The sequence below is a fragment of the Homo sapiens genome, chromosome 19 (assembly GCF_000001405.40).
Source record: "Homo sapiens chromosome 19, GRCh38.p14 Primary Assembly".
Taxonomy (NCBI): domain Eukaryota; kingdom Metazoa; phylum Chordata; class Mammalia; order Primates; family Hominidae; genus Homo; species Homo sapiens.
The window spans coordinates 39,052,524-39,064,769 of NC_000019.10; the positions used below are offsets into that span (position 1 = coordinate 39,052,524).

The 12,246-nt window shown below is 49.1% G+C and overlaps 1 annotated feature.

Annotated features, from left to right (window-relative positions):
- Window positions 5,982–6,483: an enhancer, noted in NCBI's record as "NANOG hESC enhancer chr19:39549145-39549646 (GRCh37/hg19 assembly coordinates)". NCBI's record gives its function as "activates a minimal SCP1, AML or CMV promoter by ChIP-STARR-seq in primed H9 embryonic stem cells {active_cell/tissue: H9 hESC(primed)}" and the evidence as "EXISTENCE:reporter gene assay evidence [ECO:0000049][PMID:30033119]".

Consider the following 12,246-nt stretch of genomic DNA (forward strand, 5'->3'; position numbering starts at 1 on the left):
TTCCTGGTAGTTTCCAGCTGAACCTATGCACACGGGGTCGTTGGTGGAGGTGGAACTAGATCTCTGCAGAGCACCCTAAAGGGGAGAAACGGGACAGGCCCACACAGGTCTTGGTCTGAACTGGGAGTACCCTGCCCTGAGAGCACTGTGGCTTGGCTGGCCCCAGCTGCTGGAGAGGGACTTAGAGGAAAGTGCCACACAGTGTAGGATGCCCACTTGCCTGGTCCAAGGATGCTCCTGGTGGGTGTGAGAGAAACAGCAAAGTCCAGCATTTCCAGACTTGGATTTCTCCAAGGTTTCCAGTCATGTTGCCATTTATTGGGAAGGGGAATGGTGCAGGACTGGGGGAAGGAATAGGAAAATCAGGGCTTCATTTTGGGGAAACTGAGGCTCAGAAAAGCCCACAGGCACCGAGCAAGGATGTGAAACCATTTCCCTCGTAACCCCCGGGCGACACCGCCTGCCCCAGTTCCACGTGAGGTTGTAAAGCACTGATGCTGCTGAACATTTTCATAAATGACTTCATTTAGTCTCATCAACAATGAGCATTTTGATCCCATTTAGGGGGAACAAAGGGAGGCTCAGAAAGACCTTGCCGAGGCCTTAGATGGAGGAGGTGGCAGATTTTAGTGTGCTCTGAGTCCAGGCCCACTTTAGGCTCACAGAACCACCTCAACCCCTTTCTGCCCTAGGCCGGGCTTTTCCGAGCCTCCCTCTGCCCACTTGCCTCCTCCTTCCAGGAGTCAGGGTACTGGGGGGCTTCCCGCCTGCGCCCAAGGGGCCATAGGGCCTCATTCCCATCCATTCCTGCCTCTGTGCCTTGCTCTAACCCAGCTGGCCACAGCCCCACCTGGCCCAGGTGCCGCCGGCCCTGCTTGGTCCCCATACAAAGGCCTGTGGGAGAGGCTGGGAAATTGCCATCCACCTGGGGACAGTGGGAAACAGTCATCGTCAGCCTGTCCATATCCAGGACACCGTGCTGCATCCTGGCTCACAATCAGGAACCAGAAGGCAGCACGGCCCCCACAGGGCTGGCACGGGCAGCCTCACTGTGGCCTGTGCCCTGGGCAGTACCAGGCAGCTCCATCCTGTGGTACCCAGGCTGAGTCCATCTCTTACGCCCACGCCCAACCTCTCAGCAAACCCAGGCAGCTCCAGGTGCACAAAATCTGCACAGCACCTGCCCTTTCTCGCCCGACCATGGCCACCACCCTGGCCCCATCCACCCCTGTCTCCATCTGGACCATCACTCCCATCCACAGACTCCCTGCTCCTTCCCACCCCACCCTCGCAATCTGTTCCACAGCCACAGGGAGACTGTGAACACCTGTGTCACTCCTCCGCCCAGAACCCTCCCGGGGTGCCATCCTGCCCTGAGTAAAGGGCAAAGTCCTCCCCTACGGCCCACCAGGCCTCACATGATCTGCCCCGCCCCACTCTGACTCTGTGGCCTCCCACAGCCTCCTTGCTCACCCAGCCTGGCCACTGCTTATTATTCTGTTCCCACCACGGGGACTTTGCTTGGCTGCCCCTCCCCATAGGTCACTCCCTACCCTCCTTCCAATGTTTGCTCAAATCTTGCCTTCCCAGCCAGGCTTCCCCTGACCACTGCCTTTAATACTTTAACCACCCTGCCTTTTTTTGAACTCCTAATTTTTTATTTTTATTTTTATTTTTTGAGATAGGATCTAGCTCTGTTGCCCAGGCTGGAGTGCAGTGGCGTGATCATAGCTCACTGCAACTTTGAACTGCTAGGCTCAAGGGATTCCTCCTGATTCAACCTCCCAAGTAGCTGGGACTATAGGTGCACACCCAGCACTTATAATTGTAATTTTTAATAGAGATGGGGTTTCACTATGTTGCCCAGTCTGGTCTCAAACTCCTGGCCTCAAGTGATCATCCCACCGCAGTCTCCCAAAGTGCTGGGATTGCAGGTGTGAGCCACCACACCTGGCCACCACACTGCCCTTTTTACCCCCTTTGCCTACTCTGATTTTCTTGGAAACCTTCCATAGACTTCACAGCTTCCTCTCACCATCCCACTCATCCAGCCACTGGCCATGGCCACCTTCCCTGTTACTGTACGCAGGCTCCAGGAGGGCTGGTCAGCTCAGCCTCTCTGCTGGAGTCCTTTATTAGTTTCCCATTGCTGCTGTAACGAATTACCACAAACTTGGTGCCTTCAAACACATTTATTCTCTTGCTGCTCTGGAGGCCAGAGTCTAAAATCAGTTTCACTGGGCTGGAGTCAAAGGAGCGGAAGGACTGCCTGCCTTCTGGAGGCTCGGGGGAGCCATTCATTGCCTCTCCTGGCTTCTGGAGGCTGCCAGCATTCCTTGGCTTGTGGCTGCATCACTCCAATCTCTGCCTCTGGAGTGATTTTGCCTTCTCCTCTTCTGTGTGCAACCTCCCTCTGCCTCTAATTTATAAGGACACTTGTGACAGCATATATGGCTTACCAGGTAGTCCAGGATAATCTCATCTCAAAACCATTAACTTGGCCAGGCGCGGTGGCTCATGCCTGTAATCCCAGCACTTTGGTGGGCCGAGACAGATGGATCACCTGAGGTTAGGAGTTCGAGACCAGCCTGGCCAACATGACGAATCCCTGTTTCTACTAAAAATACCAAAATTAGCCAGGTGTGGTGGTGCGTGCCTGTAATCCCAGCTACTTGGGAGGCTGAGGCAGGAGAATTGCTGGAACCTGGGAGGTGGAGGTTGCTGTGAGCTGAGATTGTGCCATTGCACTCCATCCTGGGCGACAGAGCGAGACTCCATCTCCAAAAAAAAAAAAAAAAATCATTAATTTACATCTGCAAAGACGCTTCTTTTGTATAACATAACATTTATAGGTTCCAGGGATTGGGTTGCTGTCTTAGTCTATTCAGGCTGCTAGAACAAAATACCATAAACTGGGAGGTTTAAAAAATTTATTTCTCACAGTAGTAAAGCCTGGGACATTCAAGATCAAGGTGCTGGCAGATTCGCTGTCTGATAAGGGCCCTGCTTCCTCATAGAGGAGGTCTTCTCCCTGTGTTCTTACAGAGTGGAAGAGGCAAGGGCTCTCTCTATGGCCTGTTTTATAAGGGCACTAATCCTATTCATGTGTACTTTGCCCTCTTGACCCAATCACCTCCCGCAGGTCCCACCTCCTAATACCATCACCTTGGGGGTTGGGATTTCCATATATGAATTTTGGGGGTTTTTTCTAGAGACAGGGTCTCTCTCTGTTGCCCAGGCTGGAGTCACAGATCACTGCAACCTCAACCTCCCAGGCTCAAGTAATCTTCCCACCACAGCCTCCCAAGTGTCTGGGACTTCAGGTGCATCCCACCATGCCTGGCTAATTTTTTTGTAGAGATAGGGATCTTACTATGTTAGCCAGGCTGACCTTGAATTCCTGGGCTCAGGCGATCCTCCTGCCTTGCCCTCCCAAGGTGCTGGGATTACAGGCGTGAGCCACTGCTCTTGGCCTCAGTATGTGAATTTCAGAGGGGATACAAACATTGAGACCATCGCATACCTGAATATATTTGGGGGTCGTTATTCAGCCTACTGATAATCAGGTCCTGACTGATGGTGGTTCTAGGAGAACAGAGCCTCAGGGAAGCTCATCTGCAGCTGGTTCTCTAATCTACAGGGCTTAAGAGCATCATCAACCCTGTTGCCATGGTTAAGGGGGCACTGGTAGTTCACAACATGCAGAGACAAAATGGTGACTTATACTGTGACCTGTCGTCACCTGTCATTTACAGGGTCAGGTCCATTCTGCACTGGTCTCCCTGTTGAGCAAGGACGGTGGCCATTGTCAGTCCAGGCTCCCCACTTCCTTGTTCTTTTTTTTTTTGATAGAGTCTCTCTCTGTCACCCAGGCTGGAGTGCAGTGGCACGATCTCTGCTCACTGTAACCTCCGCCTCCTGGGTTCAAGTGATTCTCCTACCTCAGCCTCCTGAGTAGTTGGGATTACAGGCGCCCGCCACCACGCCCAGCTAATTTTTGTATTTTTAGTAGAGATGGGGTTTCACCATGCTTTCCAGGCTGGTCTGGAACTCCTGACCTCAGGTGATCCGCCCACCTCGGCCTCCCAAAGTGCTGGGATAATAGGCGTGAGCCACTGTGCCTGGCTGCTTGTTCTTATCCCTTTTTTTTTTTTTTTTTTGAGACAAGGTCTCGCTCTGTCACTCAGAGTGGAGTACAGTGGCGCGATCATGGCTCACTGCAGCTTCGACCGCCTGGGCCCAAGCAATCCTTCTCCCTCAGCCTCCTGAGTAGCTGGGACCACAGGTGCACGCCACCACCCCCGGGTAGGTTTTTCCAATTTTTTTTTTTTTTTTAAGATGGAGTCTAACTCTGTTGCCCAGGCTGGAGTGCAGTGGCACAATCTTGGCTCACTGCAACCTCTGCCCCCACCAGGTTCAAGTGATTCTCCTGCCTTAGCCTCCCGAGTAGCTGGGATTACATGCACATGCCACCACGTCCAGCTAATTTTTTGTATTTTTAGTAGAGACAAGGTTTCACCACATTGGCCAGGTTGGTCTTGAACTCCTGACCTCAGGTGATCTTCCCGCCTCGGCTTCCCAAAGTGCTGAGATTACAGGCGTGAGCCACCGCACCCGGCCGACTTTTACAAAATTATTATTATTATTTTGTAGAGATGGGGTCTTTCTATTTTGCCCAGGCTGGTCTTGAACTCCTGGCCTCAAGCCATCCTCCCACCTCAGCCTCCCAGAGTGCTGGGATTACAGGCATGAGCCACCACACCCAGCCAACAAGGGGAGCCTTAAGTACAGAGCAAAGTCTCCTGGTAGCTCACCAGCCAGGTGGTGGACTGGTATTGGGGAGTCCACCCCAGTGGGGACTCACTGAAGCAGACCAGTATGTGGGAAAACCATGGACATGACCCCCAGATCTAAGAGCAGTGGACACTGGGGAAGACCCTCTACTCCCACTCAACCCTTTCTCCGGTAAGGACCCAAGAGGGCAGAGGCCTAACCCAGCCCCCGGCGTTCATCCTGATTCATCCAATGAGTCTAATCTTCTGTGGTGTGACTTGTTCAGGAATGGGCATCCAACCTAGTTCTGGCCAATGGGGTGCAAGGGGAGGAGGATGTTCTGAAAAAGTGTAGAAAAAAGAGGATCACAGATCTAAGGTTTGTAGTAAGAGTCTGTGGTTTCCAGAATGACATGGAAGAAGGAATGAGGGAGGACACCTACAAGTTAGATGATGGCTACACCCCAAGACTTCAGAGGTGTGGACTGAAAGCCACAAAAGAAGGAAGTAAATGGTCAGATAATGCATTTCCTTTAGGAATGTAAGTCATGAGGCCAGCTGACCACGGTGAAATCTTACATTGGGAAATAGTGTGGGCTGTTGACTTGACAATGGAGCCATAGGTTAGCCGCCATTTTGCAGAGCTATCTGTGAAGGTGCTGATGACACTCTTGAAAGGATCCCAGTACTGGTCGAAGGTGAAGACACAGGAATCCATCATGTGGTGAGATTCTAACTTCATCCCTAACTGGCGGTCTACATTACGTGTAGATCTGTTTACTAAGGCAGTTGATCTCTTCTTTGGCGTGTCTTTGAAAGGGGTTTTCTCATTCCTTATGTTACCAAATAAAGGAGGTGTTTTTATTGCACTCTCCAGGAAGGACAAGTGGAGGAAGAACAGCTGCAGTTTGTCTCTGTCCCTCATGCCTTCCCTGGGGGTGACGGTGGGGGAGGACCCATGGTTTAGTGGAACTTATTCTTGTGCCTATAAACCAGCTAGAGAGGAGCCGCCATTATTTATGTATTTATTTAGAGATGGAGTCTTGCTCTGTCACCCAGGCTGGAGTGCAGTGGCGAGATCTTGGCTCACTGCAACCTCTGCCTTCTGGGCTTAAGCGATTCTCCTTCTTCAGCCTCCCTCCCAAGTAGCTGGGATTACAGGCGTGCGCCAACATGACTTGCTAATTTTTTTTTTTTTTGTATTTTTATTTTTATTTTTTTTTGTTTTTTATTATTATTTTTTTTTAATTTATTTTTTTATTGATAATTCTTGGGTGTTTCTCACAGAGGGGGATTTGGCAGGGTCATGGGACAATAGTGGAGGGAAGGTCAGCAGATAAACAAGTGAACAAAGGTCTCTGGTTTTCCTAGGCAGAGGACCCTGCGGCCTTCCGCAGTGTTTGTGTCCCTGATTACTTGAGATTAGGGATTGGTGATGACTCTTAACGAGCATGCTGCCTTCAAGCATCTGTTTAACAAAGCACATCTTGCACCGCCCTTAATCCATTTAACCCTGAGTGGACACAGCACATGTTTTTGTATTTTTAGTAGAGACGTGGTTTCACCATGTTGGCCAGGCTGGTCTTGAACTCCTGGCCTCAGGTGATCGGCCCATCGTGGCCTCCCAAAGTGTTGGGATTACAGGCATGAGCCACTGCACCTGGCCAAGGAGCCTCCATTTTAGATGGTAAGTTCAATTTGGGGGTGTTGGGAAGCCCGCTGCGGCCACCCAGCTAAGCCTTTACCAACAGGCTGATATATATTTTTTTAATTTTTAATTTTTGTAGGTGTACTTATTTATGGGGTAAATGAAATGTTTTGATACAAGCATGGAATGTATAATAATCACATCCTGGAGAATGGGGCATCCATCCCCTCAAGCATTTATCCTTTGTGTTACAAACAATCCAATTATACTCTTTCAGTTATCTTTAAATAGGCGAGTTATTATTGACTATAGGCGCCCTGTTGTGTGATCAAATAGTAGGTCTTATTCATTATTTCTATTTTTTTATACCCACTAACCATCCTCTCCTCCCCCCAACCTCCACTATCCTTCCCAGCCTCTCTATGTCCATGAGTTCAATTGTTTTGATTTTTAACTCCCACAAATAAGTGAGAACATGTGATGTTTGTCTTTCTGAACCTGGTTTATTTCACTTAACATAATGGTCTCCAGTTCCATTCATGTTGTTACAAATGACTAGATCTCATTCTTTTTTATGGCTAAATAGTACTCCACTGTGCATATGTACATTTTCCTTATCCATTCATCTGCTGATGGACACTTAGGTTGCTTCCAAATTTTGGCTACTGTGAGCAGTGCTGCAATACACATGTCAGTGTAGATATTTCCTTAACAGATACACTGATTTCCATTCTATGGGGTATATACCCAGCAGTGGGATTGCTGGATCATATGGTAGCTCAAATTTTTAGGTGTTTTGTTTTTTTTTTTTTTTTTGAGACAGAGTCTAGCTCTGTCCCTCAGGCTCAAGTGCAGTGGTGTGATCTTGCTCACTGCAACCTCTGCCTCCCAGGTTCAACTGATTCTTCTGCCTCAGCCTCCTGAGTAGCTGGGATGACAGGCATGCACCATGACGCCTGGCTAATTTTTGTATTTTTAGTAGAGACGGGGTTTCACCACATTGGCCAGGCTGGTCTTGAACTCCTGACCTCAAGGGATCCACCTGCTTTGGCCTCCCAAAGTGTTGGGATTACAGGTGTGCGCCACTGCGCCCAGCCTCAATTTTTAGTTTTTTGAGGAACCTCCAAACTGTTCTCCACGGTGGTTGTACTAATTTACATTCCCACCAACAATGTACGAGGGTTCCCTTTTCTTCACATCATTGCCAGCATTTGTTATTGCCTGTCTTTTGGATATAAGGCACTTTAATTGGGGTGAGATGATATATCTCACTGTAGTTTTGATTTGCATCTCTCTAATGATCAGCGATGTTGAGCCCCTTTTCATATGCCAATAGGCGGATATTTCTAGCTGTCTGTGTGATTCCTGGGTCTACTTCTCCAAAATCAGACTGGAAGCAGAGAGGCAGTGTGGAGAGCAGATAAGAGTCAGGGCTCTGCTGCCAGACTGCCCGAGTTCAAATCCTGGCTCCACCTCTGGCTCACTGGGGGGACTTTGAGCATGCCACTCAGTCTTTCTGACCTCAGTTTCCCCCTGTATAAAATGGGGATGATAATGCTACCTATCTCATAGGGTTGTGGAGAGGACCAAATGAGCTAGTATGGGGTATTTCATGGATCCACGGAATTGGGATGGGTGTTAAAATAGATGATCTGTTGTGGTTTAATCAACAGTGGTCTTTTTTGCTTCCTTTTTTTTTTTTTTTTTTGAGATGGAGTCTCACTCTTGTTGCCCAGGCTGCAGTACAGTGGCGCAATCTTGGCTCACTGCAGCCTCTGCCTCCTGGGTTCAAGCAATTTTCCTGCCTCAGCCTCCTGAGTAGCTGGGATTACAGGCATGTGCCACCACGCCCGGCTAATTTTGTATTTTTAGTAAAGATGGGGTTTCTCCATGTTGGTCAGGCTGGTCTCGAACTCCTGACCTCAGGTGATCCACCTGCCTCCGCCTCTCAAAGTGTTGGGATTACAGGCGTGAGCCACTGCGCCTGGCCTTTTTTATTTTTATTTTTATTTTTTTTTTAGATAGAGTCTTCCTCTGTCGCCCAGGCTAGAGTGCAGTGGCACGATCTCGGCTCACTGCAACCTCCGCCTTCCGGGTTCAAGTAATCCTCCCGCCTCAGTCTCCTGAGTAGCTGAGATTACAGGTGTCTGCCACCATGCCCAGCTAATTTTTGTCTTTTTAGTAGAGACAGGGTTTCACCATGTTGGTCAGGGTGGTCTCAAACTCCTGGCCTCAGGTGATCCACCTGCCTCGGCCTCCCAAAGTGTTGGGATTGCAGGTGTGAGCCACTGCACCTGGCTGCTTTATTTTTTTCTTTCTAAGATGGCTCTTATGCACAGAGCACCTTAGAGTTGGTGTAATAGGGCACATGGGAAGGCTAAGAGCAGTGCTTGTAGCACAGAAAGTAGCATGTGACTGTTGATCAGTATCATTACTGTTAATTCCCCTCAAACACCCCACAGCTCCCTCCGCTCTCTTGAGGGAGTCCCGCAGAAAGACAGCTTCTCTCTCTCTCTCATTCTGTCTTTCTCTCTCCCTTGCCTCTGCTGAACTCAAACAAGAAAGCGTGTTGCAGTGGTGTTGGCAGCCTTTCACTTACAACCTTATCTTCAGGATGAAGATAAAACTAGATAGAGATTGCAGAGCAGAGAAACGGGAACCCAGGATGCCAATGACATCAGTGAGCATCTGGACAGACTACACATCTTCTGTGGGTTTCCTGTTACTTGCAGCCCAAAGCATTCATATGTGGAGTGTGTGTGTGTGTGTGTGTGTGTGTGTGTGTGTGTGTGTGTGAAATGTTCTCCTGAAAGCACTGGGGGGTTTCTGAGACTTCTGAACATGGGCTATCTTTACTAGTGTTTTTTCAGGCCTGTCTCCCACTCCTGAGCCCCCTAAGCCAGTATTCTCTCCAACAAGGCCTCTTTCCCTACCCCATGCTACAGATCTCTGGGAAGCTGAGCCCAGTGGTCTGATTGACAGGTGACTCCAAGATGTTGCTTGTTCAAAGATGCTGAGATCTCTCTGGAAATTGTCACTAATTTCCACTTAGGACAGCATTTCCCAAAGAGTGGAATATGCTAGTGAGATTTGACACATTTAGGTGGTACACAAAACATTTGTTATGTGAATAGCTCTGTGTTTTCTTTTTTTCTTTTTTAGAGATAGGGTCTCACACTGTCACCCAAGCTTGAGTGCAGTGGTGCAATCTTGGCTCACTGTAGCCTCGGCCTCCTGGGCTCAAGTGATCCTCCCACCTCAGCCTCCCAAGTAGCTTGGACTACAGGCACACGCCACAGTGCCCAGCTAATTAAAAAACATTTTTTTTTTTTGTAGTGATGGGGTCTTGCTATGTTACCCAGGCTGGTCTTGAACTCCTGGCTTCCATCAATCCTCCTGCCTTGGCCTTCCAACATGCTGGAATTACAGGCATGAGCCACTACACCCAGCCCAGCTCTGGGTGTACAGGCGCCTGGGTGTTTTTTTTTTTTTTTTTTTTTTTTGAGACAGAGTTTCACTCTTGTTGCCCAGGCTGGAGAGCAATAGCTCGATCTCAGCTCACTGCAACCTCTGCCTCTGGGTTCAAGAGATTCTCCTGCCTCAGCCTCCTGAATAGCTGGGATTACAGGCGCCCGCCACCATGCCGGCTAATTTTTTGTATTTTTAGTAGAGATGGGCTTTCACCATGTTGGCCAGGCTGGTCTCGAACTCCAGACCTCAGGTGATCCACTCGCCTCAACCTCCCAAAGTGCTGGGATTACAGTCGTGAGCCACCACGCCCAGCCCTGTATTTTCTTTGAAAAAGTATTAAATGATTTTGGTTTTCTCTTTATAGTAGTGATACAATGTTGCCTTCAAAATGAATTAAGCCTAAACATTATTTAAAGAAATTAAGTAAATAAGAGTTTAAGTAGTCCTTGAATAGGACAAAAAAATCTCAAGTGGTATGTGAGCCACTGAAGTTTGGGTAGCTTGGTTTTAGAGAAACCCTGCACTATTTTTTTTCCCCCTGGCGACGGTCCCCAGTTTGTCTGGCCTGGGGGTGAGACTCGCTCTTCTTTCTTGGGTTTGCTTTTCAAATGCACAGAGCAGGGCACTCAGCCGACAACATGAGGGCTGACGGTTGTCACCAAGCAGCGATGTCTCTCCACTGGGAGCCTTTAAAAAGGCTACACTTGGCCCGGCGTGGTGGCTCACGCCTGTAATCCCAGCACTTTGGGAGGCTGAAGGGGGCAGATCACCTGAGGTCAGGAGTTCGAGACCAGCCTGACCAACATGGAGAAACCCCGTCACTAAAAATACAAAATTAGCCGGGCATGGAGGCGCATGCCTGTAATCCCAGCTACTCGGGAGGCTGAGGCAGGAGAATCGCTTGAACCTGGGAGGCGGAGGTTGCAGTGAGCCCAGATCGCGCCATTGCACTCTAGCCTGGGAAGAGCAAAACTCCGTCTAAAAAAATTTTAAAAAGGCTACACTTGCAGTGATTTAAAATAAACTGAGGCTTTTAGGAAATCTCTGCTGAAGCGGCTCCTGCTTCAGCAGAAACACCTGTGTGTTTTAATGCTGAGGATGGGCGGAGTATGGAGCCTTGGGCAGAGTACGGAGCCTTCGGTGAAACTGCGGACTGGGAGAGACCTGGACCAGTTACAAGCTGTGTAATATCAGACAAGCTACCTGTATTTGTCTGTTCTCGTATTGCTATAAAGAAATACCTGAGAGGCCCAGCGTGGTGGCTCACGCTTGTAATCCCAGCACTTTTGAGGCCGAGGTGGGCAGATCATTTGAGGACATGAGTTTGAGACCAGCCTGACCAACATAGTGAAACCCCGTCTCTACTAAAAATACAAAAAAAAAAAAAAAAAAAATTAGCCAGGCATGGTAGCGGGCGCCTGCACTCCCAGCTACTTGGAAGGCTGAGGCAGGAGAATCACTTGAACCCAGGAGGTGGAGGTTGCAGTGAGCCGAGATCGCACCACTGCACTCCAGCCTGGGTGGCAGAGTGACTCTGTTTCAAAAAAAAAAAGGAAGAAATGTGCCCAGGCCAGGCGTGGTGGCTCACATGTGTAATCCCAGCATTTTGGGAGGCTGAGGCAGGAGAATCTCTTGATCCAGGGAGATTGAGGTTGCAGTGAGCTGAGATCGAGCCACTGTACTCCAGCCTGGGCAACAGAGTGAGACTCTGTCAAAAAAAAAGAAAAGAAAAGAAAGAAAGAATAAATAAATAAATAAATATGCCCTGGGGCGGACGCAGTGACTCATGACTGTAATCCCAGCACTTTGGGAGGCCACGGTGGGAGGATCACTTGAGCCCAGGAGTTTGAGATTACAGTGAGCCATGATCATGCCACTGCACTCCAGCCTGGGTGACAGGGCGAGACCCTGTCTCAAAACAAAAAAACAAAATTACCTAAGCCCAACATGGAACTCCATTATACTCATAACCAGGTTTGTTGTCGTCGTTGTTAGAGACAGGGTCTCGCTCCATCACCCAGGCTGGAGTGCAGTGGTGTGATCATGGCTCACTGTAATCTCAAACTCCTGGGCTCAAGCGATCCTCCCAACTCAGCCTCCCAAACTGTTGTGATTACAGGCATGAGCCACCGCACCGGGCCCGTAAACAGTTTTAAATTTTTCAGGAATGCAACTACTGGGTAGAACCAGGAATGTGTGTTCATTGTTCACCATTTGGTGCCAGAGTCACAAAGCTGTGTCTGTCTTTATTTGTGGCTCTCCAGCTGGCATTCACAAAGCTTCTGCCCCTGGCACACCCCTAACCCTTTATTATGTTTTATAGCTTAGTTAAGTCTGAGCTTTTTGAACATTTTA